At 38.7% G+C, this 27,977-nt stretch overlaps 1 long non-coding RNA gene across 2 annotated transcripts; it reads right to left on the reverse strand.

Moving 5' to 3' along the window:
* Positions 1-12,035: 12,035 nt before the first annotated feature.
* On the reverse strand, positions 12,036-24,546 carry LOC124903279 (uncharacterized). Of its 2 annotated transcripts, none has more exons than XR_007064057.1 (2): positions 17,264-24,546; positions 12,036-12,336 (listed from the first exon to the last, which is right to left on the reverse strand). It is a non-coding gene; the product is annotated as an uncharacterized LOC124903279 (long non-coding RNA). The 2 variants fall into 2 exon arrangements; XR_007064056.1 differs by lacking the exon at positions 17,264-24,546 and adding an exon at positions 13,369-13,531.
* Positions 24,547-27,977: the final 3,431 nt, after the last annotated feature.

Genomic DNA, 27,977 nt, shown 5'->3' on the forward strand with positions numbered 1-27,977 from the left:
CACCCTTCGTAATACATCCCCACTAAATCTATTTCATTTGTTTTCCATTTCTTTGCCACATGAGCCCTTGGCTCTAGTCTGGCCAGTTACTTTATTTATTCCATTCTATCATCTTTTCACCTTTTCTTAGGCTATTTTTTTTTTTTTTTTTTGAGACAAAGTCTCACTCCGTCGATGGGCTGGAGTACAGTGGTGCAATCTCGGCTCACCGCAACCTCTGCCTCCTGGGTTCAAGCAATTCTCCTGCCTCAGCCTCCCAAGTAGCTGGGACTACAGGTGCAAGCCACCACGCCCAGCTAATTTTGTATTTTTAGGAGAGATGGGGTTTCACCATGTTGGCCAGGATAGTCTCGATCTCTTGACCTCATGATCCACCCACCTCAGCCTCCCAAAGTGCTGGGATTACAGGCGTGACCCACCACGCCTGGATAATTTTTCATTTTTAGTAGAGACTGTGTTTCACCAAGCTAGCCTGGGTGGTCTTGAATTTCTGACCTCAGGTGATCCACCCACCTCGGCCTCCAAAAGTGCTGTGATAACAGGCATGAGCCACCATGCCCGGCCTAGGCTGTTCTTTCAACCTAGAGAGCCTCACCTCATCTTCTGCCATGCGACTTGAGAAAGATATTTAACACTTAAATTCTTAACTTCTTATTTTATAAAATGGGTATAATTCATGCCTTGTAACAATGTCGTAAGAATTAAATCTGATCATTTCTGTAAGAGCCATAGCACAGAAAGACACATATAGGAGGCTCTGAGTACACGTTGTTCTCTTCTCCTTCCTGTCTTTCAAACCTGACTATGGATACTTTTCTGGTTATCTTTTAGATATTTTGCAATCCTCATGGAAACCTATATACTTAAAGATGGCTTATTTAAAAACCAGTTGGGATGGATATATATTTTATATAAATTTATATATAATTGTATATTTAAGACATATTTATATATTTTATATATGAAGTTTATATATGTAAAATCTCTTCATATATGTATATATAATATATACATATATAATATATACATGTATAATATATATGTATGTATATATACTAGATATATGTATATATAGATATAGATATAGATTTGATATAGATTTGGCAACCATAAAGAGATTGATTAGACTGCCAACTTTGAGTCAGACTTGTTGTGTCCTGGTTTATCTGCTTACTAGTTATGTGACTTTGGCAAACAAGCTGCTTAAATGCTATGAACTTCATCTGTAAGATAGGGTAATAATAACACCTTAGAGTTGTTGGTTTGTTATGACTTAATACTTATAGAGCACTTAGAACTATGCCTGGCAAACAGTAAAGTTCAATAAATATCAGCTTTAAAAAAATTATTTAACTCTGTAAAATATCATGGTAGCTTTCAAAATCAGCCCATATAATTTTTCCATTTAACAGATACACTGTTCCATTATATGAATGTTTCATCATTTATTCATTACTCAATGATAATATATCATATCATATTTTACAATTAAAACAATGCTGTAATTAATATCCTTGAATATGGCCTCATAGAGCCACATTGATATTCCATAAGTTAGAGGAAGAGTTTATGGAACACAGGAAATGTGCATTTTTAATTATGCTAAATACTGGTAAATTAGATGCCCTAAATAGAATGGGACAAATGGTGCTGGGGCAAGTAGATATCCATACGCAAAAGAAAGAAGTTGGATACCTATCTTACACCATTTACAAAAATTAATTCAAAATGGATCAAAGATCTAAATGCAAAAGCTAAAACTACAAAACCCTTCACAACCTAGGATTAGGCAGTGGTTTCTTAGATATGACACATAAAGCACAAGAAACTAAGGAAAAAATCAGTAAGTTGGACTTTGTCAAAAAAACAATTTTTGTCCTTCAAAGGATACCATCAAGAAAGTGAAATGACAACTGCTATGGCTTGAAGGTCCGTGTCCCGTCCCAAATTCATATGTTGAAATCCTAACCCCCAGAGCAATAGTGCTGGGAGGTGGGGCCCTTGGCTTTGATTAAGTCATGTGAGTGGACCCCTCCTGAATGGGATTAGTGCCCTTATAAAATAGGCGAAAGGAGCTCATTTGCCCCTTCAACCACATAAAGACACAGCAAGAAGTCACCATCTATGAACTAAGAAATGGACCTTCATCAGACACCAAATCTGTTGGTGCATTGATCTTTGACTTCCCCATCTCCAGAACTGTCAAAATTAAATTTATGTTTTTTATAAATTACCCAGTTTATGGTATTTTCTTATAGCAAACTGAACAAACTAAGACAAATATTTAGCCCCTAACATTTAGAGACCAAAAGTACATTAGTAGTGGCCAAGGACTAGGAGGAGAGGATGAGAAATGACTACTGCTAATGGGTACTCTGTTTCTTTGGGGGTGATAAAAATTTTCTGGAAACAGATAGTGGTGATGGTTGTACAACCTTGTGAATATACTAAAAATTACTGAAATATATGAGTAAATGTTCCATCAGGGAACTGTAGATTAAAACCATAATAAGATATCACCTCACATATGTTAGCATGGCTACTACCAAAAAGACCAAAGATAACCAGTGTTGGCAAGGATGGGAGTAAAGGGAACCCTCATATACTGTCGGTGGGAATGTAAATTAGCACAGCCACTATAGAATACATTATGGAAGTTCCTCAATAAATTAAAAATAAAACTACCATATAATCCAGCAATTCCACTTCTTGGTTATGTATCCAAAGGAATTGAAATCAGGATCTCGAAGAGATATCTGCATTTGCATGTTCATTTCAGCATTATTCACAATGGCCAAAACATGGAAGCAACCCAAATGTCCATCGATGAATGAATGGATTTTTTTAATGTGGTATAAACACACAATGGAATAGTATTCAGCACTATAAAGGAAAGAAATTTCACCATTTGCAACAACATGAATGAATCTGGAGGACATTATGCTAAGTGAAATAAGCCAGACACAGGACAAATACCACATAAGTGACGAATGCAAAATAGTTAAATTCATAGAAGCAGAGAGTAGAATGGTGCTTGCCTGGATTAATGGGAGGGTAAAATAGGGAGGTATTAGTCAAAGGGTACAAAGTTTCTGTTATACAAGATAAGTCCTAGATATCTACTATATAGCACAGTGCTTATAGTTAACAATATTGCTTTGTATACTTAAAATTTTGCTAAGAGAGTAGATCTCATGTTAAATGTTCTTATCACAAAATAATAGTAATGATTAATAAGTGGATGGGAAGAAACTTTTGAAGTTGATGGATATGTTCATGGCCTAGAATTTGGCAATGATTTCATGGATGTATACTTCTCTCCAAACTCATCAAGTTGTATATATTATATACCTACAAATGTTTACATGTCAATCATATCTCAGTATTTTTTTGTTTATCTAAATTTGTTCTCCAAATAAATCTGGAAAAAAAATCTTAGCTCTGTAGGACAGAACCTGGTCTTACCTATCTACCTGTGCTCTACTGACCTCTAATGGCCATTATGCTTCCATGGTACGCCTAAGAATGCAACAGGAGAAACCTCAACCCACCCAAAAGTAGTAAGAAAAGGAGTATAGGCCAGGTATGGCAGCTCACACCTGTAATTCCAGCACTTTGGGAAGCTGATGCAGGAGGATTACTTGAGCCCAGGAGTTGAGACCAGCCTAAGCAATATAGTGAGACCCCATCTCTGCAAAAAAAAATAAAAATTAAAAATTAAAAATTAACTGGGCATGATACACACGCCTGCAGTCCCAGCTATTTAAGAGGCTGAGATGGGAGGATCTCTTCAGCCCAGAAGTTTGAGGCTTGCAGTAAACTGTGATCGCACCACTGCACTCCAATCTGGGCAACAGAGCAAGACCCTGTCTCCAGAAAAAAAAAAAAAAAAAAAGAGAGAAAAGAAAGAAAGGAAAAGGGGTATATTGGTTAATAGAATTTTCTAGTTAACTGCTGACCAGAAAAAAAAAAAAAAAAACTTTGATACTGAGTATTAAAGCATTCCAGGCTGGGTGCAGTGGCTTTTCCCTGTAATCTGAAAAGGGAGGATCACTTGAGGCCAGGAGTTGGAGACCAGCTGGACAACATAGTGAGAACTCCATCTTTAAAAAAAAAAAATTAGCCAGGCGTGGTGGCGACTTGGGAGACTGAGGTGGGAGGATTGCTTAATCCTGGGAGGTTGAGGTTTCAGTGAGTTGTGATTATGCCACTGCACTCCAGCCAAGGAGAACTTGTCTCAAAAAAAAAAAATCTAAAGTCTATGTTCCCACCTTTATACTTTATTACGTTGAAAATAATTTAATCTTTTACCCCACAAGAACTCAGGAAGTGCAACATGTCCGAACAAACAGTGAACAGGCAATCAAATGATGGGGGTTTCCAATCCCAGCTCAACACCAACTAGCTATGTGTCCTTACACAGGACACCTGACCTCTCTGGTCTCAGCTCTCTTATCTGTAAAATAAGAAACTTGAACAAAGTGAATTTTCTTTCTTTTTTTTTTAAATTTTATTATTATTATACTTTAAGTTTTAGGGTACATGTGCACAACGTGCATGTTTGTTACATATGTATACATGTGCCATGTTGGTGTGCTGCATCCATTAACTCATCATTTAACATTAGGTATATCTCCTAATGCTATCCCTCCCCCTCCCCCCATCCCACAACAGGGCCTGGTGTGTGATGTTCCCCTTCCTGTGTCCATGTGTTCTCATTGTTCAGTTCCCACCTATGAGTGAGAACATGCAGTGTTTGGTTTTTTGTCCTTGTGATAGTTTGCTGAGAATGATGGTTTCCAGCTTCATCCATGTCCCTACAAAGGAAATGAACTCATCATTTTTTATGGCTGCATGGTATTCCATGGTGTATATGTGCCACATTTTCTTAATCCAGTCTATCATTGTTGGACATTTGGGTTGGTTCCAAGCCTTTGCTATTGTGAATAGTGCCGCAATAAACATACGTGTGCATGTGTCTTTATAGCAGCATGATTTATAATCCTTTGGGTATATACCCAGTAATGGGATGGCTGGGTCAAATGGTATTTCTAGTTCTAGATCCCTGAGGAATTGCCACACTGACTTCCACAATGGTTGAACTAGTTTACAGTCCCACCAACAGTGTAAATGTGTTCCTGTTTCTCCACATCCTCTCCAGCACCTGTTGTTTCTGACTTTTTAATGATTGCCATTCTAACTGGTGTGAGATGGTATCTCATTGTGGTTTTGATTTGCATTTCTCTGATGGCCAGTGATGGTGAGCATTTTTTCATGTGTTTTTTGACTGCATAAATGTCTTCTTTTGAGAAGTGTCTGTTCATATCCTTTGCCCACTTTTTGATGGGGTTGTTTGTTTTTTTTTTTTTGTAAATTTGTTTGAGTTCATTGTAGATTCCGGATATTAGCCCTTTGTCAGATGAGTAGGTTGCAAAAATTTTCTCCCATTCTGTAGGTTGCCTGTGCACTCTGATGGTAGTTTCTTTTGCTGTGCAGAAGCTCTTGAGTTTAATTAGATCCCATTTGTCAATTTTGGCTTTTGTTGCCATTGCTTTCAGTGTTTTAGACATGAAGTCCTTGCCCATGCCTATGTCCTGAATGGTATTGCCTAGGTTTTCTTCTAGGGTTTTTATGGTTTTAGGTCTAACATGTAAGTCTTTAATCCATCTTGAATTAATTTTTGTATAAGGTGTAAGGAAGGGATCCAGTTTCAGCTTTCTCCATATGGCTAGCCAGTTTTCCCAGCACCATTTATCAAATAGGGAATCCTTTCCCCATTTCTTGTTTTTGTCAGGTTTGTCAAAGATCAGATAGTTGTAGGTATGCGGCATTATTTCTGAGGGCTCTGTTCTGTTCCATTGGTCTATATCTCTGTTTTGGTACCAGTACCATGCTGTTTTGATTACTGTAGCCTTGTAGTATAGTTTGAAGTCAGGTAGCGTGATGCCTCCAGCTTTTGAACAAAGTGAATTTTCTACAGTTGCCTACACTCATGTTTCCTCAAAATGCACTATGTCTCATGGTACATACAGTGTAAGGGAGGGGAAACAGATAAATGAAAAGCCAATTTTAATTTAGTGTGGGAAATGCTATAACAGAGTGAGTATAGAATGCTGTCAGGGCACATGAGAGTAGCACATAACCCAGTCAAGATCTAAGGGTGTATGGGGAGGTGATGGGGAAATTGTTAAGGAGAAGTAACATCTAAGCTGCTGACACCTACTGGGTGAATAGGAATTATCTGATGAACTGAGATGGAAGAGAAGGAACAATATTTACAAAAGATCAGAAATGAAAGTGAGTAAGCATTCAGGAAACTAAAATTAGTTTGTTTTGGCTGGAATATACAGTGTAAGGAAGAAATGTCAAAACATAACAGGGGTAAGCATTGGCCAGCTCACTGAAGGTAATATACATCAAAATGAGAACTTTGGATTTTATCCTAAGACCAATGAGAAATGTTTGAAAGGTTTGACTCAGGAATGATATAATCATTTACATTTTTGAAAGATCAGTATGACCACAGGATAAAGAACACACTGGAGAATAAAGGTCAAGGTTTCTTTTGTTGTTTTTTCAGACAGGGTCTCATTTTGTAGCCCAGGCTGGAGGACAGTGGCATCATCATAGCTCACTGCAGACTTGACCTCCAGGGCTCAGGTGATCCTCCCACCTCAGCTTCCCGAGTAGCCAGTGCTACAGGCACACACCACCACAACCAGCTAATTTTTTGTATTTTTTGTAGAAATGAATTCTCACTTTGTTGCCCAGGCTGGTCTTGAACTTTTGGGCTCAAGCAATCCTCCTGCCTCAGCCTACCAAAGTGCTGGGATTATCTGCATGAGCCACCACGACAGGCCAAAGAACACACTGGAGAAGAAAGGTCAAGGGTAAAGGGAGGGGACAGATTATAAGAGTACTGCAGGAGTCAAAAGAGGATAGGACGGTGACCTAATCTCAGACAGTGTTTCTTAAAGTATGGTCTGCAATGAGAAAAGAACAGAAATTGAGAGAAAGCTTTAGAAACTTTTACAGCAATTCAATATTGTGGTAACATCCAAGCACATGATCAGTTGTCTCTTCTCCTTGAACAAGATATAAACAAGTTTGAGTATTGTAGTACTATCCATTTATACTAGTCATGCACAGTTGAACTGCATTAAGATGTAATATTTTAAAGTTGGTTTGTAAACTATAATCAAAAGTAAAAAAAAATTGAGAAAGCATATACTTTATTTTTATAGCTTATTTTCATAATCCTTTTAAATTGTTAATTAATAGTATAAATTTTGGAAATATAATTTATGTTATTTTTAATCCTAATTTATTTATGACAAAATAAACTTTACTGGACTCCTTTTCAAGAAAAGATACATCCTTTCTGAATGTAGACATTGTAAAAAACCAGACGATAGCAATGAAATGTTTCCCAAGAAATGAAGACTAGTCCCTACTAGTTTTACTCAAAAGTATGAACCTTCATGTATTTTTAATTACATAGCTATAGTTGAGTGTGAAGTACTAAAACCATAGTGTGTTATTTTGCAGAGATATATTGGCTAATGATGCAATGAAACCATCAAAAAGTAAGCATCTTTTGCATACAAAACATAGACCTAAGTTCAAAACCAAAGAATTTTTTAAGCAAATATTATTGAATTAAAAATTTTTTTAAAGTAAAGGCTCATTATTCCATGTGAACATATGGAATATGTTCTTATGGAACATATTTGAGCATTATCTCTTGCTAAACCTAAGCATTCAAGTTGCTAAACCTAAAAAAACATATACCATTCTGAGTCATTAGTTAAAGACTGTATCAAAGATGATTTCCAGCAAATCTTGAATGAATCAGTGGCAATGAAGATAGCTCAACTACTACTTTTTAATGACTCCATAGCTCAATGTATTAAATAACTAGACCATATGATGGTTGTACAACAGTATGAATTTGCTTAAAACCATTGAATTGTACATTTAATGGTGGTTAAGTTGGTAAATTTTCTGCTATATGTATTTTACAATTTAAAAAATGAAAAAAAAAACTAGACCACAGAATAAAATTAGCAAATTATTTTCCATCAACTTGATGAATGCACAGCTATTGCTAAAATAGCAATTATTTTTGTATATATGCAACCTGCTTTATTTTATTTTTTAATTTTATTTTAGGTTCAGGGGTACATGTACAGGTTTGTTATATAGGTAACTTGCATGTCACGGGAGTTTGGTGTACATACTGTAATATACAAACGGCAAATAAACACATGAAAAGATGCTCAACATCATGTCATTAAAGCAATAAATTAAAACTACAATGAATTGCCACTACACACCCATTAAAATGGCTAAAATCCAAAAGACTGACAATAATAAATGCTGGCAAGGATGCAGAATAGCAAACTCTCAATCATTGTTGGTGGGAATGCAAAATGATACAGCCACTCTGGAAGACAGTGTGGCAGTTTCTTATAAAACTAAGTATAAAACTTAACCATATAGCCAGCAATCATATTTCTAAGTATTTACCCAGGTGATTTTAAAACATGTCCACACAAAAATCTATATACAAACGTCTATACCAGTTTTATTCATAGTCACTAAAAACTGAAAGCAACTAAAATGTCTTCAACAAGGAAATAGATAAGCTGTGGTATATCCATACAATGGAATATTACTCAGCAACAAGAAGGAATGAGCCATTGAATCATGTAACAACACAGCCATAGATGATCTTAAATGCATTTTAGAAGTGAAAGAACAATCCAAAAGACTACATATTGCATGATTCCATTAATACAATAATATTCTGGAAATAGCAAAGCTATAGGGATGGAAAACACAGTAGTAATTGCCAAGGGATAAGAAAGAAGGGAGGCCGGGTGCAGTGGCTCACACCTGTAATCCCAGCACTTTGGGAAGCCGAGGTGGGCAGATCACGAGGTCAAGATATCAAGACCATCCTGGCCAACATGGTGAAACCCCATCTCTACTAAAAATACAAAAATTAGCTGGGCACGGTGGCGCATGCCTGTAGTCCCAGCTACTCAGGAGGCTGAGGCAGAAGAATCGCTTGAACCCAGGAGGCAGAGGTTGCAGTGAGCCAAGATCATGCCACCGCACTCCAGCCTGGTGACAGAGTGAGACCCTGTCTCAAAAAAAAAAAGGAAAGAAAAAAAAAGAACGAAGGGAGTGGTTGACAACAAAGAAAATGCACAGGAAAACTTTTAGAGTGACGGAATTATTTTTTATGGTACTGGGGTGGGTAGTAGATACATAACTCCATGCATGTGTCAAAACCCATAGAACTGTACATCACAAAAAGTGAATTTTAATGTACGCATCTAGAAAAGAATAAACCAAGATGTAGGGGAATCCAAAGATGGGATAAAGACTGTGACAAATGAATCTAACCATATCACAAATAAGTGACATATCTACACTGACAGGGGTAGGGAAAAGAGGCACTAATCTAAGTAACTTCAAAAAGGGTGCTTTGATTGGAAATTGTAAGGCTAAAGATAAAAGCAATTGTACATAAATACTGTGCTTTAGTTGGTTGATTTCTTTATAGTGGTGTGGTTAGCGATTCTGAAACTGCATCTAAAACAGCTTCAAAAGTATACTGTGGTTAAACAAGTAAGTAAATGATTGGTAGATGGTAGAATCCAGGTTCCTCAGTTTCTCATTGCTGCTGTGATATCATTTGGCTCTGTGTCCCACCCAAATCTCATGTCGAATTGTAATTCCCAGTGTTGGGGGAGGGACCTGGTAGGAGGTGATTGGATCGTGGGGGGGATATTCCCCCCTTACTCTTCTCATAATAGTGGGTTCTCACTAGATCTGATTGTTTGAAAGTGTGTAGTACTTTGCTGTCTCTCTCTTCTGCCATGTGAAGATGTGCTTGCTTACCCTTCACTCTTTCATCATGATTGTAAGTTTCCTAACACCTTTCCAGCCATGCCTCCTATACAGTCTGTGGAACTGTGAGTCAGTTAAACCTCTTTTCTTTAAAAGTTACCCAGTCTCGGGTAGTTTTTTGTTTGTTTGTTTGTTTGTTTTTAGATGGAGTCTTGCTCTGTCACCCAGGCTGGAGTGCAGTGGCGCGATCTCGGCTCACTGAAAGCTCTGCCTCCCAGGTTCACACCATTCTCCTGCCTCAGCCTCCTGGGTACCTGGGACTACAGGTGCCCGCCACCACGCCTAGCTAATTTTTTGTATTTTTAGTAGAGACAGGGTTTCACCATGTTAGCCAGAATGGTCTCAATCTCCTGACCTCATGATCCGCCCACCTCGGCCTCTCAAAGTGCTGGGATTACAGGCGTGGGCTACCGCGCCTGGCCAGGTAGTTCCTTACTGCAGTGTGAGAATGGACTAATACATGCTGCAACAAATTACCACCAATTTAGTGGCTTAAAACAACAAACACTTATTCATTATCCTGTAGTTCTGGAAGTCAGAAGTCCAGAATCAGCCTCACTAAAGTAAAGACGTCCAGGTTGCCTCTTGATGCTCTGGAGAATCTGTTTTCTTTGACTTTGCCAGCTTCTAGAGCCCACCTACATTCTTTAGCTAATGGCCTGTTCCTCCATCTTCAAATCTAGCAGCATAGGATCTTCTAATCTTAGTATCTCTCTTCATATCTCTCTCTCTCTCTCTTTCTCTCTCTCCCTCCTTCCATCCCTCCCTCCCTCCCCCCTTTAGTTATCACATTGCCTTCTTTGTCTTCAACCCTCCTGCCTCTCTCTAATAAGGACTCCTGTAATGACATTGACCCACCCAGATAATTCAGGATAAACTCCCACATTACAAGATCTTTAGCCTAATAATATATGTGAACTCTCTTTTGCCATGTGAAGTAACACATCTAAAAGTTACAGAAATTATAATATAGACATCTTGGGATGGCCATCTTTCAGCAGCCTACCAGCCCATCAAAGAGAGACATTACAGTAAAGCAAGAAAACAAAGCAAGAATAAACTCTGTGCTACTGGTTAGAGTCAGAGACACCCTTATAAATTCATATTTAGTGTAATATATACACAGATATAGAAATAAGTATGGACACGTGTATGTACATGCATAATATATGTATAAAGACATATATTATGTAGTTTTGTCTGCCAAAAGTGCCTAGAAGCAATAAGCACTCAGCACCCAGATCTTGGTTTTAAAATACCATTCTCCAATAAAAGGTAGTAGGGCTCCTTCAAGAAATGACTGTTTCTAGGGCTGGGACAAGGAAAATACAGAATGAACCCAGCGAATTTTGTAGTACCAAAAAGTACTCAAAACTCAAAAGGATAGAAACACATGAAGGTGATACAAGAGCCAATCTAAAAGAGCTCTCAAGATCAGCTGGCACAATTTGAGCAAGAAAATAATAGGGTAGTATTGGATTATAACCCAAACTATGAAATAAATATATGTAAGTACACACTGGTGTTAATAAATGACTGAATAAATAAACAGAAAAGGGGAGACAAATTTTCCTTACAGATGACTTCCAAATAATGTATGTATATACTCCCCCAGGAGGTGGAGCTTAATCCCCTTTCCCCAAAGGTGGCCTAGACTTAGTGACTTACTTCCTAAGAATATTAGGGAAAAGGGAAAATAGTAACTTTAGAGTGGCGAAACATGGCAAACACTACATTGACCAAGTGATGAAGACTAACATCACCAGTGATGTCATGTGATATTGTTTACCTCTGATATGATGCTGATATGGTTTGGATTTGTGTCCCCACCCACATCTCATGTCGCATTGTAATCCCCAGTGTTGGAGGTGGGGCCTGGTGGGAGTTGGTAAGATCATGAAGGCAGAATTCTCCCTTTGGTGCTGTTCTCATGATAAGAGTTTTTTATGAGATCTGGTTGTTGAAAAGTGTATAGCACCTCTGCCCTCTCTCTCTCTCTCTTCCTTCTGCTCCAACCATCTAAAACATGCCTGCTTCTCCTTCGCTTTCCGCCAAAGTTTCCTGAAGCCTCCCCAGAAGCCATTGTGCTTCCTGTGAAGCCTGCAAGACCATGAGCCAATTAAACCTCTTTTATTTATAAATTATGCAGTCCCAGGTATTTCTTTATAGCAGTGCGAAAATTGACTAATACAGATGTATTGAGAAAGGCACTTCATCTGCATGGTCTGTTTCCCCAAAATCCATTACTACAGTCTAATCATGCAGAAAAACATCAAACCCTGAATGGGGATCATTCTACACAATACTCCTCTGGACTGTCAAGGTCATAAAAAAAACAAGAAAAGACAGAAACTTTCACAGACTCGGATGGAGAGACATGACATCTAAATGAAATGTTGTACACTGGATCAGATCCTGAAAGAAAGAAAGGGCATTAATGGAAAATTGGTGAAATCCAAATAAAATCTGGAATTTAGTTACTAACAACATGTTAGTTAAGTAGTTAGCTTCTTAATGTACCATGGAGATGGAAATAGAAGTTGTTAACAGTGGGGGAAACTGGTAAGGAATATGTGGAGATTCTCTATATTATCTTTGAAATTTTTCTGTAAATATAAAATTATTCCAAAATAAAAGTTTATTTTTTAAAAAAATGGCTTACCTGATATTTCTGATCACCTGAATGATCTCATTCAAAAATACCAAGGCCTACATTAATTATATTAATGTACTGAAAATGTATATAGATTCAAAACAAAAGACAACTTTTAAAAAGTAAGCTTAAAGTGGTTTACTAGGCTGGGTGTGGTGGTTCACACCTGTAATCCCAACACTTTGGGAGGCCAAGGTGTACGGATCACTTGAGCTCAAGAGTTCAAAACCAGCCTGGCCAGATGGCAAAACCCCATCTCTACAAAAACAAACAAACAAAAAATTAGCTGGGCGTGGTGGCACACATCTGCAGTCCCAGCTACTCAAGAGGCACAAAAGTGGCTTGAGCCCAGGAGCCAGAGGTCACAGTGAGTAGAGACCATGCCACTGCACTCCAACCTGGGCGACAGACCGAGAGACTCTGTTTCAAAAAAACTAACAAACAAAAAACAGTGGTTCACTAGTAATGTTTAGTCAGGTTTATTATTTGAATCCTGAAGATTTATTAAGACTAGTAGAGCAATACTGGTATATGCTTGAGGGAAATCTTAGCCATTTTTTTATACTTGATATAAGAAAGTTTGATTCACTATTAATGTACTGTTAAAAGTTTCCTCACAAGACCCTTTAACATTACATTTGTCAATGACAGGAAAAGAAGAGCTATGAGACTTAAGGCATAATCACACCCTAAGCACAATCCATAAAAACTGATTTATCCAAGCTCTCATTAATAGAAAGATGTCCAACTATTATTATAGTAAAATATAAAAATATAGAAAAGGCAATATATACCTTCTACCACTTGCTACCATGTACATTGCAAAGAAAACTTCTCATCACTGGTGATTATCTAGAAGTTGAAGAGATCATTACTTGAAGTTTCTATCAGGAATTGTATGAACCAAACCAAGCAAAAAAACTAGTATTAAAAGTTACATATTTAAAATTTATGCCCAGGCACAGTGGCTCATGCCTGTAATCCCAGCACTTTTGGAGGGCGAGGGGGGTGAATCAATTGAGGTCATGAGTTCAAGAGCAGCCTGGCAATATATGAAACCCCGTCTCTACTAAAAATACAAAAATTAGCCAGGCATGGTGGTGTGCACCTATAGTCCCAGGTACTTGGGAGGCTGAGGCAGGAGCATCGCTTGAACCTGGGAGGCAGAGGTTGCAGTGAGCCAAGATCGTTATCACTGCACTCCAGCCTGGGCCACAGAGCAAAACTCCATCTAAATAAATAAATAAATAAATAAACTTACATATATATAAACAAGCTGAAAGTTTTTATTGAAAATTTGGTCCAAGTAGATGTGGTCAGTGAAAAGAAAAAAAAAGAAAAAAAGGAAAATATTTTATTTACAAATTTTATAGAAATTTAAAATTTAATACATTTGAATTTTTGTTATGAATTTAATCATATTGTTATATTTTTCTTCTAATAAAAAAATAAGACATTTTTCAACAAAATCTATACAGATGCCTCCAAATCCCTTCTAGTTTACTCCACTATGTCAAACATCATTTTCTTAATGTACCATTTTCTAAGCACTGCCTTAAAGAACAGCACGTCTGTTCAGTTGATGAATCTCTATAATATCCTGGTGAAATTAAGTTACTCTAATTCAGTTTCTCCTCCAAGAATTGTTCTTAAAGATGAATATATTTAGAGCTTTAAAACTTTATGAACTCGGCTGGGCACAGTGGCTCATGCCTGTAATCCCAGTACTTTGGGAGGTCAAGGTGGGTGGATCATTTGAGGTCAGGAGTTCAAGACCAGCTTGGCCAACATGGTGAGACCACATCTCTACTAAAAATGCAAAAATTAGCCAGGCATGGTGGTGCACGCCTGTAATCCCAGCTATTTAGGAGGCTGAGGTAGGAGAATAACTTGAACCCAGGAGGTGGAGGTTGCAGGGAGCCAAGATTGTGCCACTGCACTCCAGTCTGGGCGACAGAGTGAGACTCTGTCTTAAAAAATAAATAAATAAAGGAAAACTTTATGAACACTCTTGAGAGGTTGATCCTATCCAATACAACTTGTCTGTATTATTCTAATTCTGTGCTCTCCTCAGTTCTCTAAACATGCCATCCCTGGGCAAGCATTTTTTTTTTTTTTTTTTTTTTTTGAGACAGGGTTTCTCTCTGTCACCCAGGCTGGAGTGCAGTGGTGTGATCATTGCTCACTACAGCCTCCAACTCTTAGGCTCATGCAATCCTTCCACTTTAGCTTCCCAAGTAACTGGGATTTCAGGCACACACCACAATGCCCAGCTAATTTTTTTTTTGTATTTTTTCATAGAGACAGGGTCTCCTTATGTTGCCCAGGCTAGTCTTAAACTCCTGAGCTCAAGCGATCCTCCCACCTCAGCCTCCCAAAGTGCTGGGATTACAGGTGTGAGCCACCATGTCCAGCCTTCTATTTTTCATAATAGTATTTACTACAACCACCAACTCAATTTACCCCTTGGTTTAATAAGATCTTCTCATATTTTTTAGAATAAAATTTGCCATCATTCTGAGGTTTGACTTTGGCTGCTTACTTTTTCCTAGGGTCTTGAAAGATAATATTAAGAAAACTACCACACTGGTTATGTTCTAACAGTATAACTAGAAATCCAAAGAAGTGGTTTACTAAAAGGCTAGATTAACACAGTTTTATCCTCAATTATATATTTTTCTATAAAACAGGAAAGTATAAACATCAAATACATGAAAAAACTGCATTGAAAAATTAAATCTAAACACTCAAGAAGAATTAGGCACTGTATTCACTAATCTAAACAGAATTTAATCTTTCTTGCATTATATTTTCATGGGTTTAAATAAGAAAGCAATTATTTTCACTTTCCTACTTTGACATAATAACCCCACAAAACAGCCTGGCATAAAAGTACTGACTTGGTGGCAAGAGACCCAGACTTAAGCCTAGGCTTACCACTTACCAGCTGTATGACCTTATTCATCTTCAAACCCTTGTATGGCTATATCCAATACTAGAGAAGGTGTCCCATAAACACTTATGACTTTAGGAAGTAAAGTTTTCCTCTTTGCTTGCCTGTGCTACAGCAACAGGCAAATAAATAAAAGGAAGGATATAGTTCTCCCTCCCAATAGTTCAACCATCTGGCAGGGCAAACAGAAAATGACCACACCAGAAAAGGAGTACAAAGAGAAGCAAAACTGGAGAAAATGAAAAGGATAGGGGGCTTATCCCCTCACTGGGATTCCATATATCCTGGGAAGCATTGCTTTTTCCGTATCCACACTGGCCAACTATGTACTCTCCCATTCAGTGGGACCATGCTCTAAAATCCCATCACCCTGGATCTATTTCTATATTTATCTGCTGAGATTCTGGTGTAACCTCCTCTACAGCCATCCTGCCCTGAGCAAAGATAAACAGGACCATGAAGCTTTTTCTGTTTGTTTGTTTGTTTATCCTATCAATATAAATATGTAAATGCATGAAAAAAATGTGAGAATCTAATCTTATAAATCTAAAGTAAGCAGGTATAGAAAAATATGCGTTCAGAGAATTGTAATCAACAACAGAATAATGTTTATTCATTAAATATTTATTGTGTACTATAAATTGACACTACACTAGAATTAGGCACACATTTTAGAAAGATATATTTTCTATCTAGAAGACACCACAGTATCGTAGGAGATCTTTATAATTTACAAATCACTTATACATTACATAATAAAAATGTATACATACGATTGCTTTATCCAGAACACAGTTCCCAATAAACACTGATGAAACTATGTATAGACTGAGATTTCAGTGTCTTTCTTGGTTTTTTAAGCAAGTTTATCTATGGGCTAAAAAATACCCTATCATCCAGTAAAAAGGTTACAATTCAAACCTCAACAAGTGTTTTCCAACCGGACCTTAACTGTGGCCTGGCCAGAAAGTGTTAGTAATAAAGCACTCAAAGTCAAACCTACTGCATTGCTTGTCCAAGAACAGACTAAACTGCGTATCAAGAAAATTTCCTTTAATACTATCCATTTGTCAAAACAAAGGTTACAGGCCAGGCACAGTGGCTCACACTTATAATCACAGCACTTTGGGAGATTGAGGCAGGAGGATCACTTGAATCCAAGAGTTTGAGACCAGCCTGGTTAACATAGTAAGACCTCATCTCTACTAATAATTTTTTTTTTTTTTTTTGAGATGGAGTCTCGTTCTGCCACCCAGGCTGGAGTGCAGTGGTGCGATCTCGGCTCACTGCAAGCTCCGCCTCCCGGGTTCACGCCATTCTCCTGCCTCAGCCTCCCCAGTAGCTGGGACTACAGGTGCCCACCACCAAGCCCGGTTAATTTTTTTTTTGTATTTTAGTAGAGACGGGGTTTCACCGTGTTAGCCAGGATGGTCGCGATCTCCTGACCTCATGATCCGCCTGCCTCGGCCTCCCAAAGTGCTGGGATTACAGGTGTGAGCCACTGCACCCGGCCTCTACTAAGAATTTTTTTTAAATTAGCCAGGCTTGGTGGCTAATGTCCCAGCTATGTGGGAGACTGAGGTAGGAGGATTGCTTAAGACCACGAGTTTATGGGTGCAGTGAGCTATGATCATTCCACTGAACTCTAACCTGAATAACAGAGCGAGACCCTGTTCCCCCAACCCCCAAAAAAGAGGTTACACAAATATGCTTGGGTATGCCATAGATACACTTACCCTCTATTGTAGCTTTAGTATCATTCTAAAATTATTTTTAAATGTCCATTTTGAAAGGTAATCCATGGAGTAAGGAGTCAACCTGAAAAGGTACATACTCTGATTCCAATTTTATGACATTCTGAAAAAGGCAAAAGTATAGAAACAGTAAAAAGATAGTGGTTTCTAGCAAGGAAGCCCTGGGAGGCATAAGAAAAAAAAATTTTTAATTAAAAAATGAAAAAAGATAGTGGTTTCCAGGGGTGAGGGAGGAGGGGAGATAAGGACACACAGGTAGAACACATAGGATTGTACAGCAATGAAACGATTCTGTATGATAGTTTAATAAATACATGTCAGTATACATTTGTCAAAACCCATAAAATGTACAACACTAAGAGTGAACTCCAATATAAACCATGGACTTGGAGTGATAAGGATGTGTCAATGTAGGCTCATGAATTATAGGAAGTGTACCACTCTGGGATGGGACATTGATAATGGGGAAGGTTGGGCATAAGGTTGGTGAAGAGGTATATAGAAACCCTCTGTACTTTCTATTCAATATTGCTGTGAACCTGAAACTGCTTTAAAAGACAAAGCCTATTTTTAAAATAACTTTTTTAAATGTAACCCAATAATAATATTGGCCAAAGCTGCACAACTAGGTTTACTTTCCTCTGGGCAGTGACAAACAGAAGCAGACAAGGTAAGTTTTCCACAAGGCCTTTTGCTAATAGAGAAGCAGTATGTGGACCAATATGTTGAGGCTCACATTCCTCAAATGATATGCTCTTTCATCTTCTCTTTTCTCCTATCATTTGCCTCCCCCACTGTGGACACATGAAACAGATACCTAATCTTTTCCCCTCTCTGCCACCATGAATAAAAAGATTCAAGCTGAACACAATAGTTGGCAAAGTCTAGAAGATGCTGGCATTATTAAAACTGTCTCTGCAAAGGCAATGCCCAAAGGAACCCCATTCTCCCAGGCCTAATCCAAAGGCAAAGTTGTTTTAACAGATTAGAAAAGAAAGTTGAAGGAGCAGAGTCACAACAGAACCTAGGTCCCTGAGTGCCAGTTTCGGGCTCTCTGCAGCAGCTCTGCCATGGTTGATTAGCAGGAGTTGGAGTCCCCTGAGAGCCAATTAGAGGAGGAAGTCAGGGTGGGGGAGGGAGGAGTGATTCCATCAACTCCCCATTAAAAGTGAGTGGATCCCACAGCACAGAGAGACAGTGACTCAAACTGTTGCATCAGCCAAAGTTCCAATACTAACTCCCTAAACGTGAGGAAGGGCAAAGGGAAGGAGGGAGGGAGGAAAGTGAGGTGTCTCACACTCTGGCAAGCTTCCACTTCCTATCTCAAGCGAATAGATCTCCTCATTAGCCATGAAGAAAACCCCAACACACTATGAGAGGAATTAGCCAGGGGGCTGCTGACACACAGCCAGGCTGCCAATTCAGAATCACTCTTGTCAAGTCAGATCCCATGTGACTCATTGTCTTTTGTGTAGAAAAGTAAAACTTTCATGACTACCCTCCCTCCATCTCAAACTTATAAAATAACTGATGATTTTCCAAACATGTTCACAAACACTACTTGATTGATTTCTACAAAATCACTGAGTTTTTCCAGGTTTGTGTAAGTATTTTCATCTAGGAATTTAAAGAAGTTAATAATGAAGTTCAAGAGATTTTCCTAAAATCACACAGGCAGTGTTATTTGTGTATTTTTAAGCAATATACCACTATGCTTATATAGATAGAATATCTCCGGAAGAAAACAATAAAATGGAGTCGTTACTCCAGTAAGGGAAGTAGAGGTCAGGCGTGAAAATGAAGTTTTTTCTCTGTATAGTTTTTAATAACTTTTCAATTTTACACCATTGTATATATAACTTCCTGAAATAAATGAAAAAGAAAGTTACAATTAGGGAGCAGAAAACTATAATCCAATTCTCTTTCCCGCTGTACAGCACCATCTCCTATGGGGGGGGCGGGTAAGGAGTAAGAACAGTTTTCCTTTTCCTGTATCTTCCCACATATGCCCTATTCCATCACCTCCCTATCCACTTATAGATGCAAAATTTTCTGTGAGCACTTTCCCATTGTTGCCTGCTCTATGCAAACCTGCCAGGAGCTGAGAGTGTGCTGAGAAAACCAACCAAGTCCTAGGAAAATTTAAAATGTGACTCTGATTTATACAGAGACTAATTCTAACAACATAATTTTCATTTGAAATTAAAAATAGCATTTTTGTCCAAATGTCTTCTGAGAATAGATAAACTAACACTTCAGCATAAAAGATCAAGATTAGAAAGAATGAAGGCAGTAAACTTGCCAGTAACAGGCACTGTGCTTCCCCAGTACTCAACAGGCTGATGGGTCACTGACAGACGAGGAGGAACAACCTGTCCTAGATATCATTAAAGGAGATTCTTGGCTTGATGGAGAGACAGGCTCCCACAAAAAGAAAAATGAGAGGATGTTATGGTCATGTATTACTAATAGTTTAGAGGAGAAAATTTGAAAATGTAAATGAAATGGATAAATTACTATAAAAATACAAAATATTAAAACTGACTCAAGAGAAAAATTGAATGATTCAAACCAATAAACATCAAAGAATTTAAATCAGTAGTTAACCTTTCTATTAACAAAATGTGCAGTACTGATGACTTTACAGGTAAATTCTACCAAAAAAAAAGAGAAGACAATTTCATATAAACTCTTCAAATAATCACACAGAGGAAACACTCTTTACTCATTGTATGAGGCAAGCTTACATTTGATACCAAAACCAAACTAGAATACACTAAGCAATAAAAACTAAACTAAAATCACTTGTCACCCACACACACATAAACCTAGTTAAATGAATACAGCAGTGTATAAGAATATATATAACCTAGGCCGGGTGCAGTGGCTCACGCCTGTAATTCCAGCACTTTGGGCAGCTGAGGAAGGTGAATCACTTGAGGTCAAGAGTTCAAGACCAGCCTGGGGCAACATGGCGTGAAACCCCATCTCTAGAAGAAACAAATAGATGCCATAAAAAATGATAAAGGGGATATCACCACCGATCCCACAGAAATACAAACTACCATCAGAGATTACTACAAACACTTCTACGCAAATAAACTAGAAAATCTAGAAGAAATGGATAAATTCCTCGACACATACACTCTCCCAAGACTAAACCAGGAAGAAGTCGAATCTCTGAATAGACCAATAAAAGGAGCTGAAATTGTGGCAATAATTAATAGTTTAACAACCAAAAAGAGTCCAGGACCAGATGGATTCACAGCCAAATTCTACCAGAGGTACAAGGAGGAACTGGTACAATTCCTTCTGAAACTATTCCAATCAACAGAAAAAGAGTGAATCCTCCCTAACTCATTTTATGAGGCCAGCATCATCCTGATACCAAAGCCGGGCAGAGACACAATCAAAAAAGAGAATTTTAGACCAATATCCTTGATGAACATTGATGCAAAAATCCTCAATAAAATACTGGCAAACCGAATCCAGGAGCACATCAAAAAGCTTATCCACCATGATCAAGTGGGCTTCATCCCTGGGATGCAAGGCTGGTTCAATATACACAAATCAATAAATGTAATCCAGCATATAAACAGAGCCAAAGACAAAAACCACATGATTATCTCAATAGATGCAGAAAAGGCCTTTGACAAAATTCAACAACCCTTCATGCTAAAAACTCTCAATAAATTAGGTATTGATGGGACGTATCTCAAAATAATCAGAGCTATCTATGACAAACCCACAGCCAATATCATACTGAATGGGCAAAAACTGGAAGCATTCCCTTTGAAAACTGGCACAAGACAGGGATGCCCTCTCTCACCACTCCTATTCAACATAGTGTTGGAAGTTCTGGCCAGGGAATTCAGGCAGGAGAAGGAAATAAAGGGTATTCAATTAGGAAAAGAGGAAGTCAAATTGTCCCTGTTTGCAGATGACATGATTGTTTATCTAGAAAACCCCATTGTCTCAGCCCAAAATCTCCTTAAGCTGATAAGCAACTTCAGCAAAGTCTCAGGATACAAAATCAACGTACAAAAATCACAAGCATTCTTATACACCAATAACAGACAAACAGAGAGCCAAATCAGGAGTGAACTCCCATTCACAATTGCTTCAAAGAGAATAAAATACCTAGGAATCCAACTTACAAGGGATGTGAAGGACCTCTTCAAGGAGAACAACAAACCACTGCTCAATGAAACAAAAGAGGATAGAAACAAATGGAAGAACATTCCATGCTGATGGGTAGGAAGAATTAATATCGTGAAAATGGCCATACTACCCAAGGTAATTTATAGATTCAATGACATCCCCATCAAGCTACCAATGACTTTCTTCACAGAATTGGAAAAAACTACTTTAAAGTTCACGTGGAACCAAAAAAGAGCCTGCATTGCCAAGTCAATCCTAAGCCAAAAGAACAAAGCTTGGAGGCATCATGCTACCTGACTTCAAACTATACTACAAGGCTACAGTAACCAAAACAGCATGGTACTGGTACCAAAACAGAGATATAGATCAATGGAACAGAACAGAGCCCTCAGAAATAATGCTGTATATCTACAACTATCTGATCTTTGACAAACCTGTGAAAAACAAGCAATGGGGAAAGGATTCCCTATTTAATAAATGGTGCTGGGAAACATGGCTAGCCATATGTAGAAAGCTGAAACTGGATCCCTTCCTTACATCTTATACAAAAATCAATTCGAGATGGATTAAAGACTTAAACGTTAGACCTAAAACCATAAAAACCCTAGAAGAAAACCTAGGCATTACCATTCAGGACATAGGCATGGGCAAGGACTTCATGTCTAAAACACAAAAAGCAATGGCAACAAAAGACAAAATTGACAAATGGGATCTCATTAAACTAAAGAGCTTCTGCACAGCAAAAGAAACTACCATCAGAGTGAACAGGCAACCCACAAAATGGGAGAAAATCTTCGCAACCTACTAATCTGACAAAGGGCTAATATCCAGAATCTACAATGAACTCAAACAAATTTACAAGAAAAAAACAAACAACCCCATCAAAAAGTGGGTGAAGGACATGAACAGACACTTCTCAAAAGAAGACATTTATGCAGCCAAAAAACACATGAAAAAATGCTCATCATCACTGGCCATCAGAGAAATGCAAATCAAAACCACAATGAGATACCATCTCACACCAGTTAGAATGGCAATCATTAAAAAGTCAGGAAACAACAGGTGCTGGAGAGGATGTGGAGAAATAGGAACACTTTTACACTGTTGGTGGGACTGTAAACTAGTTCAACCATTGTGGAAGTCAGTGTGGCAATTCCTCAGGGATCTAGAACTAGAAATACCATTTGACCCAGCCATCCCATTACTGGGTATATACCCAAAGGACTATAAATCATGCTGCTATAAAGACACGTGCACACATACGTTTATTGCGGCACTATTCACAATAGCAAAGACTTGGAACCAACCCAAATGTCCAACAATGATAGACTGGATTAAGAAAATGTGGTACATATACACCATGGAATACTATGCAGCCATAAAAAATGATGAGTTCATGTCCTTTGTAGGGACATGGATGAAATTGGGAATCATCATTCTCAGTAAACTATCGCAATAACAAAAAACCAAACACCACATATTCTCACTCATAGGTGGGAATTGAACAATGGGAACACATGGACACAGGAAGGGAACATCACACTCTGGGGACTGTTGTGGGGTGTGGGGGGGAGGGACAGCATTGGGAGATATACCTAATGCTAGTTGACGGGTTGGTGGGTGCAGCACACCGGCATAGCACATGTATACATATGTAACTAACCTGCACATCGTGCACATGTACCCTAAAACTTAAAGTATAATAATAAATAAATAAATAAATTAGCCAGGCATGGTGGTGCATGCCTGTAATCCCAGCTACTTGGGAGGCCGAGGCAAGAAAATCACTTGAATCTACGAGGTGGAGGTTGCAGTGAGCCAAAATTGTGCCACTGCATTCCAGCCTGCAACAGAGATCCTGTCTCAGAAAGAAAAAGAATACGTATATCTTGACCAAGTAAGGTTTGTACCAATAACACAAATTTGATTCATTGATTGAAAGTTGAGTACTCTTATTCACTGCATTGACAGGTTAAGGAACAGAAAACAATCATTTGCCATGTCAATAAATACAGAAAAAGCATTAGATAGAAAAAGATAAATTAGGTAAAATTTAAAATTTTTGCTAAAAGCTCATAACAAACTTAGTGTCTAAGAGCAATTGTATATAAAGCCACATAACAAACATCTTAATTTGACAAGAAAATGTTGAAAGTATTTTCCTTAAGGACAGAAACAAGACAAAGACGCTTGCTATCACCATTTCTATTCAGCATACTAGAGGTCCTAACTAGTACAGGGGAAAAAAACTAAACAAAAGCTAAAAGGATTGCAGAAGACCCCAAGTGGTCATTATTTATATACAGAAAACCCAAAGGAATCATCAAATTATTAGAATGAAAGAGTTCTAAAAAGGCTATAGCTGCAAAAACTAAATAAAATACTAATTGTATTTCTATTCTGAAGCACAGTTAGAAAATTTAATTCTTAAAAATGATACTACTTACGATAGCAGCATAAACTATAAAGTGGCCAGGAATAAATCCAATAAAAGCCATAAACAAACTTTCTGGAGAAAGTATACTATTATATCAAAAGACTAAACCAGAAAGAAATAGAAATCCTGAACATAACAATTTGAAAAAGTAGTAAAATTGAATCAGTAATAAAAAGCTTCCCAAGAACAACTAAAAATCCCAGAACTAGATGAACTCACAGCTGAATTCTATCTAATGCAGAAAGAATGACTGGTACCACTCCTACTGAAACTGCTCCAAAATATCAAGAAGGAGAAAATCTTCCCTAATTCATTCTATGGAGTCAGTATCCTCTTGATACTAAAGCCAGGTAAGGACACAACTAAAAAAGAAAACTACAGATCAATATCTCTGATGAATATAGATGCAAAAATCCTCAGCAAAATACTAGCAAACCAAATCCAACAGTACATCAAAAAGATGATACATTATGATCAACTGGGTTCTATTGCAGAGATGCAAGGATGGCTCAACATATGTAAATCAATAAATGTGATTCATCACATAGACAGAATTAAAAAACAAAAACCCTACGATCATCTCAACAAATGTGGAAAAGAATTTGATAAAATTCAGCCTCCCTTCATGATAAAAACCCTCAACACACTAGACAGAAGAAACATACCTCAAAATAATAAAGGACATTTTTGCCAATGTGGGGAAAAGAAAGAGAGATCAGATTGTTACTGTGTCTGTGTAGAAAGAAGTAGACATAGGAGACTCCATTTTGTTCTGTACTAAGAAAAATTCTTCAGCCTTGGGATGCTGTTAATCTATAACCTTACCCCCAACCCCGTGCTCTCTGAAACATGTGCTGTGTCCACTCAGGGTTAAATGGATTAAGGGCGGTGCAAGATGTGCTTTGTTAAACAGATGCTTGAAGGCAGCATGCTGGTTAAGAGTCATCACCACTCCCTAATCTCAAGTACCCAGGGACACAAACACTGTGGAAGGCCGCAGGGACCGCTGCCTAGGAAAGCCAGGTATTGTCCAAGGTTTCTCCCCATGTGACAGTCTGAAATATGGCCTCGTGTGAAGGGAAAGACCTGACCGACCCCCAGCCCGACACCCGTAAATGGTCTGTGCTGAGGAGGATTAGTATAAGAGGAAGGAATGCCTCTTTGCAGTTGAGACAAGAGGAAGGCATCTGTCTCCTGCCCCTCCCTGGGCAATGGAATGTCTCGGTATAAAACCCGATTGTATGTTCCATCTACTGAGATAGGGGGAAACTGCCTTAGGGATGGAGGTGGGACATGCAGCAGCAATACTGCTCTGTAAGGCATTGAGATGTTTATGTGTATGCATATCTAAAGCACAGCACTTAATTCTTTACCTTGTCTATGATGCAGAGACCTTTGTTCACGTGTTTATCTGCTGACCTTCTCTCCACTATTATCCTATGACCCTTGACAAATCCCCCTCTCCGAGAAACACCCAAGAATTATCAATAAATACTAAGGGAACTCAGAGGCTGGCGGGATCCTCCGTATGCTGAACGCTGGTCCCCTGGGTCTCCTTATTTCTTTCTCTATACTTTGTCTCTGTGTCTTTTTCTTTTCCAAGTCTCCCGTTCCACCTAATGAGAAACACCCACAGGTGTGGAGGGGCAACCCACCCCTTCATGCCAAACCACAGCCAGCATCATACTGAATGTGGAAAAGTTGAAAGCAATTCACCTAAGAACTTAAGTAAGACAAGGATGCCAACTTCCACCACTTTTATTTAACATAGTATTAGATGTCACAGCCAGAGCAACCAGGCAAAAGAACGAAATAAAAGGCATCTGTGTTAGGCTGTTCTTACATTGCTATAAAGAAATACCTGAGACTAGGTAATTTATAAACAAAAGAGGTTCACTTGGCTCAGAGTTCTGCAGAGTGTCCCAGCATGGCTCCAGCATCTGCTTCTGGCGAAAGCCTCAGAACCTTTACAATCATGGCAGAATGTAAAGCAGAAGCAGACATATTATTGGTGAGAGTGAGAGCAAGAAAGAAGGAGAAGTGTCACACTCTTTAAACAACCAGATTTCATGAGAACTCACTGTCTCAAGGAAAGCACCAAGTTATTCATGAAAGATCTGCACTCATGACCCAAACACTTCCCACCAGGCCCCACCTACAACATTGGCAATTAAATTTCAATATGAGATGTGATTGGGACAAATATGAAAGCTGTATCTTTCCACTCCGGCCCCTCAAATCTAATATCCTTCTCACATTGCAAAATATAATCATCTGCTCCCAATAGTGCCCAAAACTCTTAACTCATTCCAGCATCAAACCCAAAGTTCGAAATCTCAACTGAGACTCATCTCCTTCCACCTATGACCCTGTAAAATCAAAGCGGGTTATCTAATCCCAAGATACAATGGTAGTACAGGCATTGGGTAAACATTACCATTCCAAAAGGGAGAAATTGGCCAAAAGAAAGGGGTAATAGTTCCCAAACAAGTCTGAAACTCAGCAGAGGAGTCATCAACTCTTAAAGCTCCAAAATAATCTCCTTTGACTCCATGTCCCATATCCAGCCCATACTGATGCAAAAGATTGGCTCCCAAGGTCTTGGGCAGCTCTGCCCCTGTGGCTTTGCAAGGTACAGCCCTCACAGCTGCTCCCACAGGTTGCAGTTGAGTGTCTGTGGCTTTTCCAGAAGCAGGGTGCAAGCTGCTGATGGATCTATCATTTTGGTATCTGGTGGGCAGTGCCCTGGTAGCGACTCTGTGTAGGGGTTCCAACCCTACATTTACCCTCCTCACTACCCTAGTAGAGGTTCTCCATGAGGGCTCCACCTCTGCAGCAGGCTTCTGCCTAGGCACCCAGACTTTCTCATATATCCCCTGAAATCTAGGGGGAAGCTGCCAAGTCTCCTTCACTCTTGCAATCCATATGCTCACAGACTTAACAAAACATGGAGGCCACCAAGGCTTATGGCAGCTTGCACTCTCCAGAGCAACAGCATGAGCAGTACTTGGGGTCCTTTGAGCCAAGGCTGGAGCTGGAGCACCCAGGAAGCAGGGAGCACTGTCACAAAGCTGCACAGGGCAGCAGTACTCTGGGACTGGCCCACGAAACCATTCTTTCTTCCTAGGCCTCTGAACCTGTGGTAGGAGAGGCTGTCTCAGAGATTCCTGAAATGCCTTCAAGGTCTTTTTTCCCCATTGTTTTGGATATTAGCACTTGACTCCCTTTTATCTATGCTGATCTCTCTAGCAAGTGCTTGCTCCACAATCTGCTTGGATTCTTTCTCTGCCATATGTCCAGGCTGCAAAATTTTCAAACTTTCACACTCTGTTTCCCTTTTAAATATAAGTTCCAACTTTAAGTAATTTTGCTCCCACATCTGATCATAGGCTGTTAAAAGCAGCCAGGCCATATCTTAAACAATTGCTGCTTAGAAATGTCATTCACTTCATACCCTAAGTTATCACTCTTAACTTCAAACTTCCACAGATCCCTATGACATGAACATAATACAGCCAAGTTCTTTGCTAGGGTGTAACATGGGTGACCTCTACTCCAGTTCCCAATAAATTCCTTATTTCCATCTGAGACTGATATGGTTTGGCTGTCTTCACCCAAATCTCATCTTGAAGTGTAGTTCCCATAATCCCTACATATTGTGGGAGGGACCAGGTGGAGATAATTAAATCATGGGGGTGGTTTTCCCCATTCTGTTCTCATGATAGTAAGTTTTACAAGATCTGATGGTTTTAATAGGGGCTTCCCCCTTTGCTGGATTCTCATTCTCCTTCCTGCTGCCATGTGAAGAAGGACATGTTTTCTTCCCCTTCTGCCATAATTGTAAGTTTCCTGAGGCTTCCCTAGCCATACAGAACTGTGAGTCAATTAAACCTCCTTCCTTTATAGATTATCCAGTCTCAGATATGTCTTTATTAGCAGCATGAAAACAGACTAATACAGTAAATTGGTACCTGAGAGTGGGGCACTACTGTAAAGATATCCAAAAATGTGGAAGCGAGTTTGGAACTGGGTAACAGGCAGAAGTTGGGACAGTGTGGAGGGTTCAGAAGAAGACAGGAAGATGTGGGAAAGTTTGGA

This window comes from Homo sapiens, chromosome 14 (genome assembly GCF_000001405.40).
Source record: "Homo sapiens chromosome 14, GRCh38.p14 Primary Assembly".
NCBI classification, from domain to species: domain Eukaryota; kingdom Metazoa; phylum Chordata; class Mammalia; order Primates; family Hominidae; genus Homo; species Homo sapiens.